This window comes from Homo sapiens, chromosome 5 (genome assembly GCF_000001405.40).
Source record: "Homo sapiens chromosome 5, GRCh38.p14 Primary Assembly".
Taxonomy (NCBI): Eukaryota; Metazoa; Chordata; class Mammalia; order Primates; family Hominidae; genus Homo; species Homo sapiens.
Window position 1 is genome coordinate 85843587 of NC_000005.10, and position 20274 is coordinate 85863860.

At 34.3% G+C, this 20274-nt stretch overlaps 1 long non-coding RNA gene across 1 annotated transcript in view; it reads left to right on the forward strand.

Annotated features, from left to right (window-relative positions):
• The window catches only part of LOC105379062 (uncharacterized), a 50894-nt gene extending 38280 nt beyond the window's left edge, over nt 1–12614 (forward strand). Inside the window, exon 3 of the long non-coding RNA XR_948532.2 lies at nt 12463–12614. This is a non-coding gene — a long non-coding RNA (uncharacterized LOC105379062). The remainder of the gene's footprint in view (nt 1–12462) is intronic.
• The last annotated feature ends 7660 nt before the right edge of the window (nt 12615–20274 follow it).

Sequence of the window (20274 nt, forward strand, 5' to 3'; positions counted from 1 at the left end):
CACAAGCGAACAAGGTGGGAAGAGGAGTGCACAAGCGCTGGAACCTGCTGGCCACTTCAGTGCTGGCACTGGAGAACTCCACTCAGTCGGACCCACTGCGCTCCACCTCTCAGGGGAGGGAGCACCCAAGTGAGAGAGTACAGGAGCCAGGGGGAGGGCTTTTGGGTGCTGGCAGGAGCGAACTCCATGCAGGCCCCACAGCAGCTTCTGGCAACCCCTGACGCCCCAGAGGGCATATTATAGTGCCCTTTCAGCTCTGCCATCTGCGGACGGCTTAACAGTGCCTTTTCACATGAGGCAGCTGCCTTCTACCGGCGAGGGCAAAGGGCAAGTGTGACAGCATTTTGTATCCGCACTTGTGGCTCCTGAGCTCTTGTCTGGTATCCAGGAGAAATGAGGTCCTATGAATGAATTGAAGGGTGGCAAATGCAGGGGATTTTATTGCCAGTGAAAGTGGCTCTCAGCAGGAAGGGGATCTGCAAAGGGGATGGGGTGGGAAGGTAATCTTCCCTTGAAGTCTGGCCATCTCAGGCTGAATTCTTCTCCGAAGTTATGCTGTCAAGATGTCTCTCTGAGATCAAGCGCCTCTCTCCAATGTCCAGACGTAGTCAGGACATCCAGCCACTTCTCCTCTCTGCCGGCTGAGCCCGGGATTTTGATAGGCACAGGACTGGAGGAGGCACGAGGCCATGGGTGGTTTTGGGAAAAAAAGTTTCAGATTTTGGAGCTTTTCAGATTTCAGGTTTTCATATTAGGGATACTCAACCTGGACTAGGTACCAATATATGAATTTGGGGAGGAAGCACCCACATTCAGACTATAGTAAGCATATAGTGAGAGCGTGATTTTTAAAATTCGTTCTGTTAATCTCTTGTTTTTTTTATTGGAATGTTTAATCCATTTCCATTTGAAGTAATTACTGATAAGGAAGAATGTACTTCTGCCATTTTGCTATTTATTTTCTGTATATCTTAAATGTTTTTATCCCTCATTCATCCATTACTGACTTCTTTTATGATCAGTGATTTTTTATGATAGCCCATTTTGATTTTGTCCTCTTTTCCTTATGTGTATACTTTGTACAGATGTTCTTTGTGATTACCATGGGAAGTGCATTTAATTATTGAATATATAACAGTTTAGTTTTAATTCTTACCAATATACTTCAATAGTACGCACAGTCTCAGCTCTAATAAAACTTCACTGGCCCCACACCATTACACAGTGGTTGTCACAAATTACATATTTTCACATGGAATGATTAATAACATATTTATAATTATTATTTTATGCATTTGTCTTTGATATCATGTAAGTGGAGTTGCAAATCCACAACACGAAAATAATGACTTATCTGTCTATGTAATTACTGTTAGCAGATTTATTTCTTAATACAGCTTTATGTTATTGTCTAGTATCCTTTCATCTTAACGTAATAATTCTATTGATTATTCCTTGTAAGTTAGTTCTAGTGGGTATTAACTCCCTCAGCTTTTGTTATATGGGAATGTCTTAAATCTCCCCTCAAATATGAAGGGCAGTTTTACTGGATATAGAATTATTGGTTGAGTTTTTCATTATTTTATCACTTTAAATATGTTATCCCACTGCCTTATGTTCTTCATGGATTCTGATGAAAAATTGGCTGTTAATCTTATTGAATATTACTTCCACATGAGAAGCCATTTCTCTGTTGCTTTATTTCAAGATTCTCTCTTTGTCTTTTGCTTCTGATACTTTGTTTATGATGTGTCTCAGTGTTGATGCCTTTGAGTTTACCCTTGGAGTTCTTTGAGCATAGAGTTCCTTGAGCTTCTTCAATATGTAGATTAATGTCGTTCATTAAATTGGAGAAATGTAAAGCTATTATTTCTTCACATATTTTTCCTTTCCCTTATTCTTTCTTCTTTGTCAGAGACTCCCAAAATGTGCATTGTTTTGCATAATGATATTCCACATGTCACATAGGTTTTTTCACCTTTGTCATTCCTTTTTCTTTCCGCTATTCAGACTGGGTAATTTTAATTGTCTTCAAGTTTACTAATTATTTCTTCTGTCTGCTCAAATCTGCTTTTTAATTTAGTGGGTTTTAAATTTTAGTCTTTTTACTTTTTAGCTTCAAAATTCATTTAGTTTTGAATATTTCCAGCTCTTCTTAATATTATATTTTTTTATACATTTTATTATTTTTTAGCTATTTCTGTTAATTTTTTTGCTCTTTAAGCACATTGAAAATATTTGCTTTAAAGCATTTTTTAGTAATTCCAGTATCTGGCCATCCTCAGGGATATTCTCTTTCTTTCAATTTATTTGTTTCTGTGAACAGGCTATACTTTCCTACTTTTGGTATGCCTCATGACTTTTTTGTTGAAACTGGACAAAGATACTGTGGTATCTTTGGAAATACAATTCTACTCGTTCTGCAGAGTTTGCTGATTTTGTATCTTAGAAGATGTAGTCATTTGTCTACTGTTCTTTTTATGTATGGTCACTGATATTTTTGTTTCTTTATCTTACGTTCAGCTGGTGTTTTGAAATAATTTCTTTCAATGCCAAGAACTAAAGATTAAAAAACAAAACAAACAACAGCAACTACAAAAAGTGAAGAAAATCTCTATAAGTCTTTGCAGATTGGCTGTTAGCTTAGTCTCAGTCACTCCTTCAATATTCACTCAGACTATTAGTCAGAGGGGAAAGCTTAGGGTCGTCTCAGGTCTTTCTTGAACATGCCACTTGCCTTGCGTATGTACATGGCTTTAAAAATTCTCCGGTATATATGGGTGCCTTTTAAAACATTAATTTCCCAAGCAAATTATCTCCCAATCTTTTTCTCCTGCTGTCTAGGCATCCTATGTTTTTACTCAACCATAATCTATCATAATCTTTTGCCTGTGCAGCTCTGGATTTTTTTTTTCTATTTGCCATGCAATATTTTCAAACAATACCCACTGATTTTCTGCCTTTAGTGAGTTCTGTGATAGGAGCAATTGAGATAGTTGCCTTGCCTTAGCCCTTCAGGTGGCCTTCAAGGCCAGTTAGTACAAGCATTCATAATACTTTGTAAATAAGATGAATAGGGCCTAGTCTTCTCTCTCCAGGACCAGGGACCAAGGTAGCAAAATGGTAAATTGGACTGCTGTCTTCAATACTCTCACCAAGTTGGAAAATTAGTGGAAGAAGCGTAAGGAAAAATAACCCAAAGATTTTCTATTATTTTAATATATTTTTTTCCTTGACTTAGCATTTGCTTTGTTGCTATCAACCTTTCTTTGCCAGATTTCTGACAAAGTTGCTTCTGACAGAATTGGCTTGCTTTATGGTGTTTCTGTGGAGGGACAGGAGCTTGGAGCTTCTGCTTCCACCATTTTGTTTTATTCTAATAAATGAATACACTGAAGTTTTACCAGTTTGTGCTCATGACTTGTACATTATTCTCTTGTTAGATTAAAGTAGGTAGGTAGGCAGGTAAATCCACCTTTTTACCCAATAATTCAACTTGATACTGTAACTACTATCACAAAACCTCTTGTGAATTAGGCTTTCAAACATTGTAGCCAACTAGAACAAAGTAGGAGCTCCCAATATTCTGTGTGTGTGTGTGCATGTGTGTGTGTGCATGTGTGTGTGTGCATGTGTGTGTACATGTCTGTCTCTCTGCCTGTTTCTGTCTCTGTCTCTGTCTCTATCTTAATCTCTATAAATCTACATCATCTTAGTTTGTGTTGAAAATCCTTTGTATTAATGTATCACATCTGGCTGTTTTTCTGTCTGTTGCTGAAACTAAATTGATAAAGAAATTCACCATGTATTAGAAGGAATTGGAAAGTACACGCCTCAGAAATGTCTAAAATTGAAATAGCATTGTTTTATTATGTCATAGACTTTTAATTCAAACGATAGACCATAGTTTTATGCTTTTTTTTTTTTTTTTTTTTTTTTTTCTGAGATGGAGTCTCACTCTGTCACCCAGGCTGGATTGCAACGGCACGATCTTGGCTCACTGCAACCTCAACCTCCCGGGTTCAAGCCATTCTCCCTGCCTCGGCCTCCTAAGTAGATGGGATTACAGGCACCCACCACCACACCCGGCTAATTTTTGTATTTTTTTTGTAGAGAGGAGGTTTCACCATGTTGGCCAGGTTCGTCTTGAACTCCTGACCTCAGGTAATCTGCCCGCCTCAGACTCCCAAAGTGCTGGGATTACAGGCATGAGCCAATGAGCCCAGCCAGTTTTATCCATTTTCAAGTGAATGAATTTCTTTGTTTTTCTGAAGTTAGGTTATGGTTACGTTGCAATTGCCTTTCTTAATTTATAGTTAATTAATTATGTGCTTAGATTCTTGCAATCGATTTTGCGTTACTCATCTTTTTCACTGTCCTTTTGACCCTTTGACTTTCTTGTGTATTCGTAGATGCTCTTTAGATATTAATTCTTCCTTCAAATGTTATTTTAAAGAAATCCCTGTTAAATATAAAATATTTAACCATTGTAGGACTGTAGATATTTAAAATGTGGCAGAAATTTATAAAAAAGAAATCTAAAAATGTTTCTGGAGGTTGTGATAAACAATTAGTGCAATATCTTAACAGTATGTATTTTTTTTTTTTTTGAGATGGAGTCTCACTGTCACCAGGCTGGAGTGGAGTGGCACAATCTTGGCCCACTGCAACCTCCACCTCCTGCCCAGTTAATTTTTGTATTTTTAGTAGAGACTGGGTTTCAACATGTTGGCCAGGATGGTCTCCATCTCTTGAGCTCATGATTCGCTTGCCTCAGCCTCCCAAAGTGCTGGGATTACAGGCATGAGCCACCGCGCCCTGCCAAGATGTATTTTTTAAAGAGGTTAAATATTTGTTTTTTAAATTAGAAAGTTTTCCTAATAACTAAACTTTTTTAAAAAAAATCATTAGTTTTAGAAAACAAATTTGAGCAGAAAACGGAAATGACTTTTTTTTTCGTTTTCTGTGAATCAGCTGTTGCGAATTTTAAAAATCATTTAAAATTATTTAAACAATTGATTTTTACACGTGGGGAGTATTTGTTAATTAATGTCATATGATCCATGATTTCCTATGCACCAGAATATAGTATTATTCAGATATTTTATTTTGGTTTCTGTATTTTCATAATTTATGTCAGTTCTGAAATGCTTAAAAACATACTTTTTCAATAATAATATCAAAAAACTCTCAATGAATAACACACATATATAAGGTGGCAATTTTTTAAAATTATCTATTTGCACTTACTACACCAAATAAGACAAATCACAATATTATATAATTATATACATGGGTTTATTATTATCACAGTAGTAAGATTAAAGTATACAGCACAGTAAAATGATTATCATGACTTCTATAATCCTTAGGCATAACAAGCCTTTTTATCATTTTTAAGCATAATAAGGCCTTTAAACTCTATTTATTTATACACATTTGCAGGTGTGTGTAAATAAATAATTTCCTACAGAAAAACAATGTAATCCTTGAGGTAAAGATTTCAGATGCAATTGTTGCACTCTAGATGTTTCCCTTTACACCTATTTCAAAATTGTATTGGTCAGCTATTACTGTGAAGCAAACAAACAAAAATCTCAGTGCCATTCAACAATAAGCACTTTTTTCTCATAGCTCTGAGCTTGGCTTAATAGTCTTTTCTCTCTGCTATAAAAAATTGCCTGAGATTAAGTCAAAGAAAAGATGTTTAATTGGCTCACAGTTCTACCAGCTGTATAGAAAGCATGGCTGGGGAGGCCACAGAAAACTTACAATCTTGGCAGAAGGTAAAGAGGGAGGAACCATGTCTTATGTGGCCAGAGGAGAAGGCAGAGAGAATGAAAGGAAAGGTGCTACACACTTTTAAACCACCTGATCTCTTGAGAACTTACTCAATATCACAAGGACAGTAAGGTGGAAATCTGCCCCCATGATCCAATCACCTCCCACCAGGCTCCTCCACCAAGATTAGGGGTTACAATTTGACGTGAGATTTGTGCAGGAAAACAGATTCAAACCACCTCATTCCACCCCTGACCCCTCCCAAATCTCATGTCCTTCTCACATTGCAAAATACAATCCTCCCTTTTCAACAGTCTCTGAATTCTTAGCTCATTTCAGCGTGAGCTCAAAAGTCTGTAGTCCAAAGTCTCATCTGAGACTACGCAAGTCTCTTCACCTACGAGCCTGTAAAATCAAGAGCAAATTAGTTACTTCCAATATACAATGGCAGTACAGGCATTCGGTAAATACACCTATTCCAAGGGGAAGAAATCAGTCAAAACAAAGAGGCTACAGGCCCCATGCAAATATCAAACTCAGCAGGACAGTCTTTAAATTTTAAAGCTCAAAAATAATCTCCTTTGACTCCATGTCTCACATCCAGGCCACACTGATGGAAGGAGTGGGCTCTAAAGGCCTTGGTTATCTCTGCCCTTGGGGCTCTGCAGGGTGCAGCTCCCTCAGCTGCTTTCATGGGCTGGCATTGAGTGCCTGCAGCTTTTCTAGGTGTGCAGTGCAAGCTTTTGGTGGATCTACAATTCTGGGTTCTGGAGGACAGTGGCCCTCTTCTCACAGCTCCACTGGGCAGTGCCTCAGTCCCCACTGGGGACTCCAAATATGAAGCCTCCAACCTCATATTCCCCTCAGCACCGCCTTAGTAGAGGTTCTCCATGAGGGCTATGCCCCCACAGTAAGCTGTTTTCTGGACATCCAGGCTTTCCATACATCCTCTGAAATCTAGGCAGAGGCTCCCAAGCTTCAGCTCTTACCGTCTGTGCACCTGCAGGATTAACACAATGTGGAAGCTGCCAAAACCTTTGGCTTGCATTCTCTGGAGCAGAAGCTTGAGATGTATCTGGGTATCTCTTAACCAAGGCCAAAGCTGGGGCAGCTGGAATGCAGGGAGCAGCATCCTGTGGTTATGCAGGGCAGGGGGTCCCTGGGCAGGGCCCAGGAAAACCATTCTTCCCTCCTAGTCCTCTTGGCCTGTGATAGGAAGGGCTGCCACAGTGGTCTCTCAAATGCCTTGGAAGCATTTTTCCCATTGTCTTGGCTATTAATATTTGATTCCTTTTGTGCAAATTTCTGCAGCTGACTTGAATTTCTCCCCCAAAAATTGGATTTTGTTTTCTACCACATGATCAGGCTTCACATTTTTTCAACTTTTATTCTCTGTTTCTCTTTTAAATATAAGTTCCAGTTTCAGATGATCCTTTCCATCACACATATGATCATATGCTCTTGGAAGCAGCCAGGCCACATCTGGAATACTTTGCTGCTGAGAAATTTCTTTCACCAGATACCCTAAATCATCACTCTCAAATTTTAAATTCCACAGATCTCTAGAGCAGGGGAACAATTCCTCCAACTTTTTTGCTAAAGTATAACAAAAATGACCTTTTCTCCAGTTCTTCATCTCCATCTGAGACCTCCTCGGCCTGGACTACATTGTCAATATCACCATCAGCATTTTGGTCACAACACTTTAATAAATCTCTAGGAAGCTTCAAACATTTCCTCATCTTCTTTTCTTCTTCTGAGCCCTCCAAAGTGTCCCAAACTCTGACCATTACCCAACTCCAAAGTTGTTTGCACATTTTCAGGTACCTTTATAGCAATACCCCACTTCCCAGTATCAATTCTCTGTATATGTTCATTCTTGCATTGCTATAAAGAACTACCTGAGATTGGGTAATTTATAAAGAAAAGAGGTTTAATTGGCTCATGGTTCCATAGGCTGTACAGGAAGTATGGCTGGGAGGTATCAGGAAACTTGCAATCATGGGGGAAGATTAAGAGAAAGGAGTCATGTCCTTCCACAGGGCTGGAGCAGGAAAAAGAGAGAGAAGGAGGAGGAGGAGGAGGTGCTACACACTTTAAAACAACCAGATCTCATGATGACTCACTCACTACCACAAGAACAGCAAAAGGAAAATCCACACCTCTAAGCTAATCACCTCCCTCTAGGCCCCTCTTCCAACAAGGGATTAAAATTTGACATGAGATTTGGGTGGGGACACAAATCCCAACCATATTAGTTGGGGATCAGCTCATATAGCCTAAGTTTAGCTAGGCATTTCCTCTTTAAACAGCAGATGTAGCTGGGCTAGGCTTATTGTTGCAGCTTTGTCTCTGGTCTGCTCCCTGTGTACTAAATTGGGACCTAGGCTAAAGAAGTGGCAGCTACATGGGGAAAACTTGCCTTATGGTGAGGCCAGAGGTTAAAGAAAGAAAGAACATGCAATGCCCTTAGATACCTGGGAATGGTTCTGGCACACTTTTAGTTTAGCCCATATGCCATTAGCCAAAGAAAGTCACATTGCTAGATCCAAATCCAATTTTGGTAGTAGAAATTGCAAAATCATATGACAAATGATATGAATAAAATGATAGATATGTAATTGAGCCAGATAATTTAATTTACCACAGTTAACAAGCTTTATGTCCTTTCATTTTTTCATTTACAATTTTAGCACATTTTACTGGACTCATTCTTCAACTTTTGTGTTGTCAATTACTATACAGAAATATTTAATAAAAGATTCCAAATAAAATATTTTAATCTTGTTTTTAGATATTACTTAAAACAATCTATTAATATCCACACCCAGCTTATCAAAGTTGACTTTAATATGCAAGATATTTAGTATCTGTAAAATATATTTTATATTAGACTATTTTATGTTGCCAACAACACAAAATTTGTAATAAAAAATAGATATGTTTGTGTACATAGGAGCTCTGGTAAAATCTGAAGATATACCAGAAGCACTTATCTTTTTAGAAATATTTGTCATATTGAAATTATGACTGCTGCCTGAACAGAAGTCCTGGTTATTTCCCATTTGCCCTTTCTGTTTCATTTTATTTCATTTTTTGCATAAATTGTGATGTTTTCTACTGGTATGATATTTGCATTAATAAGTTGATATTTGATTTCTCAAAAGCTGTGTTTTTTCATTTTTATTGATAACAATGATGTGTCTATTTCTCAAAACTAACAAAACAAATATTTTGTTAATAGGAAATATGTGCATAATTCTACACTGCAATGAAAACTGATTAGTCTACAAGATAAAATCCTAGCATGTTATTTTTGCTTTTTTTATTTCCCTTTTTTCATTTTTTATTGCTTTGTAGATAAACATCAAAATATAATTTCCTTTTCTCTCATGCCTCAACACACTTTATTTTTGTTCTGCTGCTTATTTGACCATCAGATTTCTGAAAACTCCCCAAAAGTTATAAAAGCAATAAAAAACTTGACAGATAGAGAAATAAGACAAAGGTATTAAAATCTTATTTAAAGTCTCTTACCGTAAAAACCAGCCTGTGGCTCATGCCTGGGCTAAATGATTATCATTTATTGTGTCGTAAGCAGCATTTCCCAGGAAAAGACTGGACATTTGGCCAACATGGCTTATATTAACAGTGTGTTACTTGCCCAAATCCCTAAGGTTTTTTTTTCACTTTCCCAGTCTTGCCACTTGGTCCATGATTACTAGTCTGAGTGTTATAATACCCTCAGAAATATCTAAAATGTTTACAATGGAAAACATATTTCATTGTAATCACATTGAATATACACATTATTTATTTAAACTTTAAGACGATGATATATAGAAAAAATATACAAGTCGTATCAGAAGGAAAAAATAATCATGTTTCAGAAGCAATGTCCACAATGAAATAAAGAAACCAAGGCAGTATTAGTAAGCAACAGTAAAAACAACAACAAAAACATCAACAAATAACTGCAGAAAAAGATAAATACTAGCTTAAGGTACTGCAACCTTCCATACTAGAAATTATGATACATTCATATGAAATTCTGTTTCCAGAAATGTTGAATAAGCTGGATCCTTAACAATCTTCCTATTGAGAGGAATTGAAAAGATTAGACAATTACGAAGAAGAAGGAGGGAGCTATCAGTAAGAATTTTCAGGGTCAAGACCCCAGAAAAAAGGGAAGCAAAGAAAGGTATATTTGTTGCCACTTCTCTCCTCATGGGGTTTTCAGATTAGAAAGTACTAGTCAGAAAGCTGAGAAGCTGAAATGATCTTGTAGCAAGTTACCCATGGGTAAGAGAAACATAGATTAGATTTTAGAGTCCTGTAATGTAGAAAGACTGGGAAATGACACAAACTTTCAGTCAGGACCTCAAATGTCCACACCTTAAAAGTAATTGCAATTCCAGAATTGGCCAGCTCTCATGGTCCCAGTTCAATATTAGTTCAATCTCTGATTAAAATAAGATCCTCTATCCTAACCCAGCTGGCTGACCAAATCAAAGTAAAACCTCTTTGGAGGATGACACTATCATAAAGACTCAGTTTAATCTACAATATCTGACATTTAACAATATAACCGAGTATGAAGAGAAATAATTTTTTGACTGGAAATCATAAGGAAAAACTATACAATAAAAAGAGAAAAACATTAAGTTATCTTAAGATGTAAAATGAATCATATGACATAACAGACATTTAAATGGAAGAAGATGAGTAAGCAGGATAAATGTAAATGTACTAAATGTCCCCATTAAAAATACATAAGAGTGGTGTACAAAAAATGACAACCATATGCTGCTTATGAAATATAAACTATCAGTATAAAGAAATGTTGAAAGTAAAATGGAGAGAGAAAATACACAATGCAAACTCCAATCAGTGAATCTTAAACTTTTTAAACCCAAGAGCTCCTTACAATCTTAAACTTAGTTGATGATCTCAAATTATTTTATGTGAGATTTAACTACAAATATTTACAATGTTAAAAATAAAATGGAAAAATAAAATGTGCATTAGTTTAGTTTAAAAAAAGAAAATATCTATCATATGTTAATATAAATATTCTAAGAAAAATGTATCTTCCAATGCAAAAATATTTAGAGGGAATACTGGTATTGTTTTACATTTTTACAAACATACAATGTTTATCTATATATATAAAATATAAATACACAACATATAAGACATCTCTAGATATCGAGAGAGAGAAAGAGAGAGAAACTCTTTGAAATTATGTAGTTTCATGTTTCACTTGATCAGGCTTAAAAAGAGGAAATTTGATATGCTTTAATCTCACTATTTACTTTGCTAGATGAAATATTTAGTATTTTGGTGGGAGTAAGCAAAGACGGAGGTCCAAAAAACCTATGCTACAGATTTTCATTTTATGCCTTTCTTGCTTTAAGTATTACTCCTTAACCTGCTTGAGGCAGTAAGTTGTTCTTTTTTTCCATTAGGAACTACCCTCTATCTTGCCCCTCTTCATGTTAATAGTATTCTCATATAAAATATTATCAATGGGCATTAATTTGGGACCATATCTCTCTTCAAATTCCAGTAAATGTGTATGCCTTACAGGCATTCAGAATTTTTAGATTTTCCTTTGATTTTTCCATTTTTCTTTTTAAAATACAAATGCTGTAATATAGAGTTGGAAAGTGTTGTCATGAGACTGTATTAAGTGTCCCTTAAACTTGTTTTCAAGGTGGGTTTAACCTTCACATATGGTGGATTGCAGTTTCTTTAGTGCTTTCCTTTAGCTGATCTTCTTGGGCCGTATATTTTTAATAGTAATCTCAAAGACATGATCCTTGATATATCAAGTGATAATTGATATGCCATACTGTTATAATTCCTAGGTTTAAAATCTGGCACTCTACTTGGCACACTATGGGTTAAATACCTTAGTGCCAAGTTTGGGCAAGTCTGTGCCTCTGTTTATTTATTCATGAAGTGAAGATGATGAGGATACTGACCTTATAACATTGACATGATAAACAGATGACTTAATGCAAGGAAAGCACGTAGAATAGTACATAGCACATAGCAAATTACAAATAAGCATTAGCTATTATTTTCATTAATGTTGCTCAGGTGTTTGTTTGACTCATACCATTTTTACTTCTACCAATGATGAAAACAGTTCTCCCTTGATATACTGGTTTGCTCACTTTAGTAATGATTATTCACAGGAGGGTTCTTAAAATACAAGTGGGGCACCCGAACAGAAAATGGGGTTAATCCAACTTATCAGCGTAAGGCACATTTAAGTTCTGATGTTGAAATCATTTGTTTGTTATATGGACATATCAGAGAATAGGACTCCTAATTTCAGACTGGTTTAGAAACACCAGGATTCATTTTAATGAAAATGCAAAATAATTAGTAGTGGTTGCCTATAATCCTACATCAAGAAGTGTTTGGAGACTCATGCAGATTCAATCAGAATGATTATTATGGTTCTTTCGTAACATCAGCAATGGACAAGAGTCTGGATGTTGGCACTTGGGAATTTTTCAAATTCTGTTATAGCAGTTTAGCATTGTGTGTTGCTCTGAACTCAGAAGAAACATCTCTGATTATTTTGCTTTTTATAATCATACCTTTAGAAACAGAGCCAAAATCAAAACAGGATAAACTGATTAACTTACATTAACCTTTCCTTCTCAGTTCTTCAGCAGCAGATTGACAATGAAAAAAGTGTTTATATTATGAATTTCCCTGTTATATAATGGAAGATAATTTAAGGTAAGTCATATTCTTCATTATTACTTTAGTACCTTTAAAAATTAAAATGATTTGTAATATAATGAAAAAGAAAAGCAGTAAAAATGCTTTCAATAGAGATAGTATATATAATATATAATAATATATATAATATAATATATAATAATATATAATATATATAATATAATATAATATATTATAATATATAATATGATATAATATTATATAATATAATATATAATAATATATATTATAATATATTATAATATATATTATAATATATAATAACATATATTATAATATATATTATAATATATAATAACATATAATTATATATTATAATATATAATAACATATATTATAATATATATTATAATATATAATAACATATAATAATATATATTATAATATATAACATATAATATATAATAATATATATTATAATATATAATAACATATAATATATAATAATATATATTATAATATATAATAACATATAATATATAATAATATATATTATAATATATAATAACATATATTATAATATATAATATAATATACAATAACATATATTATAATATATAATATAATATACAATAATATATATTATATATATAATAATATATATTATATATATAATATACATTATAATATATAATATAATATATAATAATATATATAATATATAGATTATAAATAAATATATAATATATATAATTATATAATTATATATATTATATATTATATATATAATTATATATATTATATATAATATATATAACAGCTGATGGCTGTTGACAGATTAGTTGTTCAAGTTTGAGGTGGTTCTGCTTGTTTCTTAAAATAAGACAACAGAACTTAATGCATTGATTGACTTTTATTTTTACAAAACATTTCTCTGTAACGTGCAATGCCATTTGATAGTATTTTACCCCAAATGGAACATTTAAAATTGGAGTCAACACTTGCAAACTCTGCTGCTGCTTTATCAAATAATTTGTGTAATATTTAAGTCTTTTGTTACTATTTAAACAACGTTCACATCTTTACCAGGAGTAGTTTCCATCTCAAAAACTACATTATTTGCCCACCCATAAGAAGAAAGTCTTTATTAGTTAAAGTTTTATTATGAGATTGCAGCAATTCAGTCACATCTTCAGTCTCCACTTTTAATTATATTTCTTTTGCTATTTCTGCAACATCTGCAGTTACTTTCTCTGCTGGAATCATGAACTCCTGAAATTCATCCATGACAGTTGAATCTACTTTCTTCCAAACTACTGTTAATGTTGATATTTTTACCTCCTTCTATGAATCCGCAAGACAAACTATCGACAGAGTAAACAAACAATCTACAGAATGGGAGAAAATATTTGCAAACTATTCATCTGACGAAGGACTAATATCCAGCATCTATAAGGAATTTAGACAAATGTAGGAGAAAAAAACTAACAACCTCATTAATAAGGAGCTGAACAAACACTTTTCAAAAGAAGACATACATGCTTATGAGAAGCATATGAAAAAAAGCTAAGCATCACTGACCATTAGAGGAATGCAGATGAAAACCACGATGAGATACCATCTCAAACCACCCAGAATGGCTATCATTAGAAAGTCAAAAAATAACAGATGCTGGCGAGATTGTGGAGAAAAGGGAACACTTACACACTGTGGTATTATTCAACTACTGTAAATTAGTTCAACCAGTGTGGAAAGCAGTATGGCAATTCCCCAAAGGGCTAAAAACAGAACTACCATTTGACTCAGCAATCCCGTTACCGGGTGTGTACCCAGAGGAATAAAAATCATTCTATGATAAAGACACATGCATGCAAATGTTCATTGCAGCACAATTCACAATAGCAAAGACATGGAATTAACATAAACATCCATCAGTGACAGATTGGATAAATAAAATGTGGTATATTTACACCATGGAATACTATGCAGCCATAGTATTTTTGTGGAAACATGGATGAAGCTGGAGACTATTATCCTTAGCAAACTAATGCAGGAACAGAAAACCAAACACCACATATTCTCTCTTATAAGTGGGAGCTAAAAATTACACCCATGAATACAAAGAAGGAAACAGCAGACACTGGGGTCTACCTGAGGGTAGAGGGTGGGAGGAGGGAGAGGAGCAGAAAAGATGACTATTGGGTAGTGGGCTTAATACCTGGGTGAAGAAATAATCCTTACAGCAAACCCCTGTGACATGAATTCACCTATGTAAGAAGGCTTCACATGTACCCTTGAATCTAAAATAAAAGTTTCAAAAAATTTTTTCATAAATTCTATAAATAGATGTGTGGTCATCCAGGCTTTGTTATTTGACTTACAGAGCATAGGCAGAGTACATTCAGCATAATTATTAAGGGCCCTAGGATTTTTGAACTGTTAATGAGTATTGGTTTTAACTTGAAGTCACCAACAGCATTACTTCCTAAGAAGAGAGTCAGCCTGTATTTTGAAGCTATGAAGCCAGGGTCTTTAGCTTTCTTATCATCTGTGTGTTGACTGAAGTAGAACTTTTCATTTCCTTCAAGAACGTTTTCTTTGCATTCACCACTTGGCTAAATGCCGAAAGATTCTAAGTTTTACACTATTTTGGCTTGCAACATGTCTGCTTCACTAAGGTTAATCATTTCTAGCTTTTGATTTAAAGTGTGGTACATGTAACTCCTTTCATTTGAACGCTTAGATGCCATTGCAGGGTTGTTAATAGGCCTAATTTTTTTCCTAAGATAATTCTGAATTAAAACCGTCACATTTACTTTCTTATAACTTTCCAAACTGTAGCTATTCACAAAAGCTTTATAAATTTTAGGCTATTGACTTTTTTTTTTTGGTAATACAACATTTTATCCCACATGGAGAATGGAGACAAATTTTTATCACAAAAGTTTCAAAACATTTAACTTTCACATGAGGTAATGCCAGTCCTGCAGTCTGCATTATTCTCCACCAGCATCTGAGAGATGCAGTCCTTCAGCATGAGTTTAACAGCTTAGTTAGCTTTTTAACCACATACTCCAATTATAGTCAGGTTATAAAACAGGAGATAATTTTCAGCATACCAAATCAAACCCATACAATTAATTACAGTAAATTTTCCTCTGATTATAAATGTTATATATTTCATGATGTAATTGGCCTAAGTTCAATAATGATGTGTCTCAGGGAATAGAGAGGCCTGAGGAGAGGGAGAAAAATGGGGGAATGGTTGGTCTGTGGAGCAGCCAGGAAACACACAGCATTTATCAATTAAGTTTGCTATTTTATTTGGGTGTAGTTAGTGGCATCGAACACAATAGTAGCATCAAAGATCACTGATCACAAATAACCATAACAGATATTATAATAATAATAAATTTAAAATATTTCTAGAACTACCAAAATGTGATACAGAGACAATAAATGAGCTCATGCTTTTGGAAAAATTGCACTAATATAATTGCTTGATGCAGGATTTCCACAAACTTTCGGTTTCTAACAAACACAAAATCTCTGAAGCAGCACAATAAAGCAAAGTCCAGTAAAATGTGGTATGCCGGTATAGAAATCTCCATTAATAGAGAAATAAACCCTTACGCTGAACTTCAGGATGACTCAGATGCACATTTGTACACCTAAATAAATAGATGTGTGGAATCTATATCATGTAGGTGCATATGCATGTGTGTACGTAGGTTCATATATTTAAATGTGTCCATAAATATGTAATAGTAATTATAATATATATTTATTGGTTTCATATTTTTTTTTTTTAGATTCAAGGATCACATGTGCAGGTTTGTTACTGGGTATATTGTGTGATGCTGAGGTTTTGGGTATGAATGATTCCATCACCCAGGTACTGAGCAAAGTACCCAATAGTTAGTATTTCAACCCTTGTCCGCCTCTCTCCTTTTCACCTCTAGTAGTTCCTCATTTCTATTACTGCCATCTTTCTTTCTGTGAGTACGCAATGTTTAGGTCCCAATTATAAGTGAGAACATGTGGTATTTAGTTTTCTATTCCTGTGTTAATTTGCTTAAGATAATGGCCCCCAGCTGCATCCATGTTGCTGCAAAGGAAATGATTTTTTTTATGGATGCATAGTATTCCATGGTGTATATGCACCATATTTTCTTGATCCAGTCCACCATGGATAGGCACGTAGGTTTGTTCCATGTCTTTGCTATTGTGAATAGTACTGTGATGGACATGTGAGTACATGTATCTTTTTGGTAGAAGAATTTCTTTTCTTTTGGAGGCACAACTAGTAATGGGATTGATGGGTTGAAAGGTAGTTCTAGTTTAAGTTCTCTGGGAAATCTTCAAATTGCTTTCCACAGTGGCTGATCTAATTTACATTCCTGCCAGCCATGCATAAGAGTTTTCTTCTTTTGAAACCAATTTTTGGTTTTGTTGATTCTTTGAATGAATTTTTGGGTCTCAATTTATTCAGTTCTACCTTAATTTTAGTTATTTATTTTCTTCTCCTAGCTTTGAAATTTGTCATTGTTTTTCTATTTTTTTTTTTTTTTTTTTTTTTTTTTTGAGATGGAGTCTTGCTCTGTCGCCAGGCTGGAGTGCAGTGGCACAATCTCGGCTCACTGCAACCTCTGCCTCCTAGGATCAAGTGATTCCTCTGCCTCAGCCCCACAAGTAGCTGGGATTACAGTCACGTGCCACCACGTGTGGCTAATTTTTTTGTATTTTAGTAGAGACAGGGTTTCACCATGTTGGCCAAGATGGTCTCCGTCTCCTGACCTCGTGATCCACCCGCCTCGGCCTCCCAAAGTGCTGGGATTACAGGCATCAGCCACCGCGCCTGGCCTGTCCTTGTTTTTCTAGTTCCTCTAGATGTGATGTTGTATCATTAATTTGAGATTTCCTGAACTTATTGAGGTAGGCATTTAGTGCTATAAACTTTCCTCTTAACACTGCTTTTGCTGCATCCCAGAGATTTCGGCATGTTGTATCTCTGTTTTCATTTATTTCCAAGAATTTTTTTTTATTTCTGCCTTAATTCCATAGTTTACCCAAAAGTCATTCAGGGAAAAGTTGTATAAATGTGTCCACATGTACATAATAATTATAATATTTATTTATTGGTTCTATTGTTTTTCATCTGTAAAATAGAAATAGTAATAATACCTACTAGCGTTTTAGTAAAGATTAGAATTAATCAACGTATTACTTATGTTATTTTATCCATGTTCCAAAATGATTTTCAGTGACTTCTAAACATCACCAACCTAATTAAAATGGAATTAATTGCAAATAAATATGCAAACAAGTACAAAAAATATAGAGAAAAGGTGAATTCGAGAGCAAGTTTAATATTAAACATAGGCATATGTCTCCATATGCACAATTATAACACATATATATACATGCACACATACCTAGGCATACATATTATATATATGTATATCCTATAGCAAACCTTGTCTCTAAATTTCCTCTTAAAGGTGGTACACATTGTCTAAATCATTCAAAGTACATTTCATTTTCCCACTCTCCTCAGTATCTGTGTATACAGAAATATCCCCTCGCTAACCTAAGTAAAATTTCTTAAACTGATTCATTTTGTACATGACATCACTATTTGTCAGATTATCTATATTCATGGTGTTTTGCACCCAGTAATTGATAATTTAAAGCAATCCTTTCTGTCAGGTTTGGGCACGTAATATTGTGTACAAGCAATTATAAACATATTTGTGAAAAAGATTAAATTTGGCTCTCCATCGAATCAGGAATATCAAGCTTTAGACAAATTGGATATATCAGCATTTTCAGACATCTAATTGTTAATGTTTTTATTGATAAATGAATAAGAAAGAGCTAGATGATAACAAGGCACTTGGCCCATGAACAACACAGGTTTGTACTGCACTGGTACACTTATACATGGATATTCTTTTACCTCTGCCACTTCTGAGACAGTAAGAACAACCCCCTTTTCTGCTCCTCCTCCTCAGTCTATTCAGCATGAAGACAATGAGTATGAAGACTTTTATGATGATCCACTCTCACTTAATAAATAGTATATATATTTTTTCTTTCTTATAATTTTCTTGATACCATTTTATATTCTCTAGCTTACTTCAGTAATACAGTATATAATGTGTATTACATATAAAATATGTGTTAACTAACGTTTATGTTATCAGTAAGGCTTTCAGTCAACAATAGGCTATTAGTAGTTCAGTTTTAGGGGAATCAACAGTTATACCTGGGTTTTTGACTGGGTGGGGTTAGTGCTCCTAAGCCCCACATTGTGCAAGGGTCAACTGTATAAACTTTATCCTTTGTACTCAATTATGCATACTGCTGTGAAGATACTTTGCAGATGAATCAAGGTCTCAAATCAATTGAACTTCAGATGATCAGGTGGGCCTGGCCTAATCACATAAGCCTGTTAAAAGCAAAGATTTTTCTCCAGCCGATTATACAAGGGAAGATTATAGATCTGTATTCATACAAGCCTGGAAAGAAATAAACATCTGCGTTGTGAACTACCTTCATTTCATAACAAAGCCTTGGTCATCTCAAGTCTTCATTGAATCAATGTAATCAGTCTCTTACCATAGCTGCCTGACAGAATAAGCATGAGCATTTTGGGGTATAAATAACATTTACTTCAATTTGGATAGTGTTTTAAAACACAGCATCTGGTAAACAATTACAAATTAGGTGACCTACAGGAAAATGTAATATTTAATAAAGTCATTAGTAATTTTGAAGCAGATTAGCTAGCCATTTGAAATATCATGCAGGGGGTTTAAAACAATTATAATTAATATTTTAACAAGCCTAAAGGAAAAGATGAAAAGGTTGAGAATTTTAGTACAAAGAAAGTATCTCTAAAAACCAACCAACCAAATAGAAAATGCTATCTGGAATAAAGGTTTCAATGCATGGACTTAATACCAGACTAGATATATCAGAAGGAAGATACATAGAAAGGTCTATAGAAACATTTAAACTGATGAACAGAGGAGAAATAAAAGACTGGAAATGAACAAGAATATGAGAGACATGTTGGATGATATCAAATAATCCACAGTATATGTAGTTAGAGTCTCAGAAGGAAAGGAGAGACACAATGGAAAATAAACATTTGAAAAGATAATGGCAAAAAGCTTTTCAAAAATAATAAAACCCTTATCAACACATTCAAAAGTTCTATAACTCCCAAACAGGACAAATATAATGACAAAATACACTTAGACACATAGTCAAATTACTGAAAATTAAAGATAAAGAGAATATCATAGCAAAGCTAGAGGAAGAAAAAAAGACACATTACAACAACCATATGAATTCATTTACTTCTCAAAAAACAGTGTAATGAGTAGAAAAAAATAACTTTGCAAAAAAAAAAAAACCCACCAAACTTGTCAACCTAGAATTCAAGAAAGTGAAAAATATCTAATCTACTTCAGAAATGAAAGGAAAATAGAAACATTTCAGACAAATAAAACGAGATAATATGTTACCAGCAGATTCCCAATATGAAAATTAATATTAAAAATTGTATATAATTTATATGAAAATCATACATATTAAGGTCAAATTTCACATTTTTAGAAAAGTAGATTCCTCTGCTTAACAATTTTAATTAATGCATTCTTTATTTTAAATTCAAGCATTTTAATGATTATAAAATACCAAATTTCTAATTCCTATAATTCTTTTTCAGGAAGGAATTGAAAGTGCAATAGTGAAGACCTTGGCAGGTGAAAATCACCATCT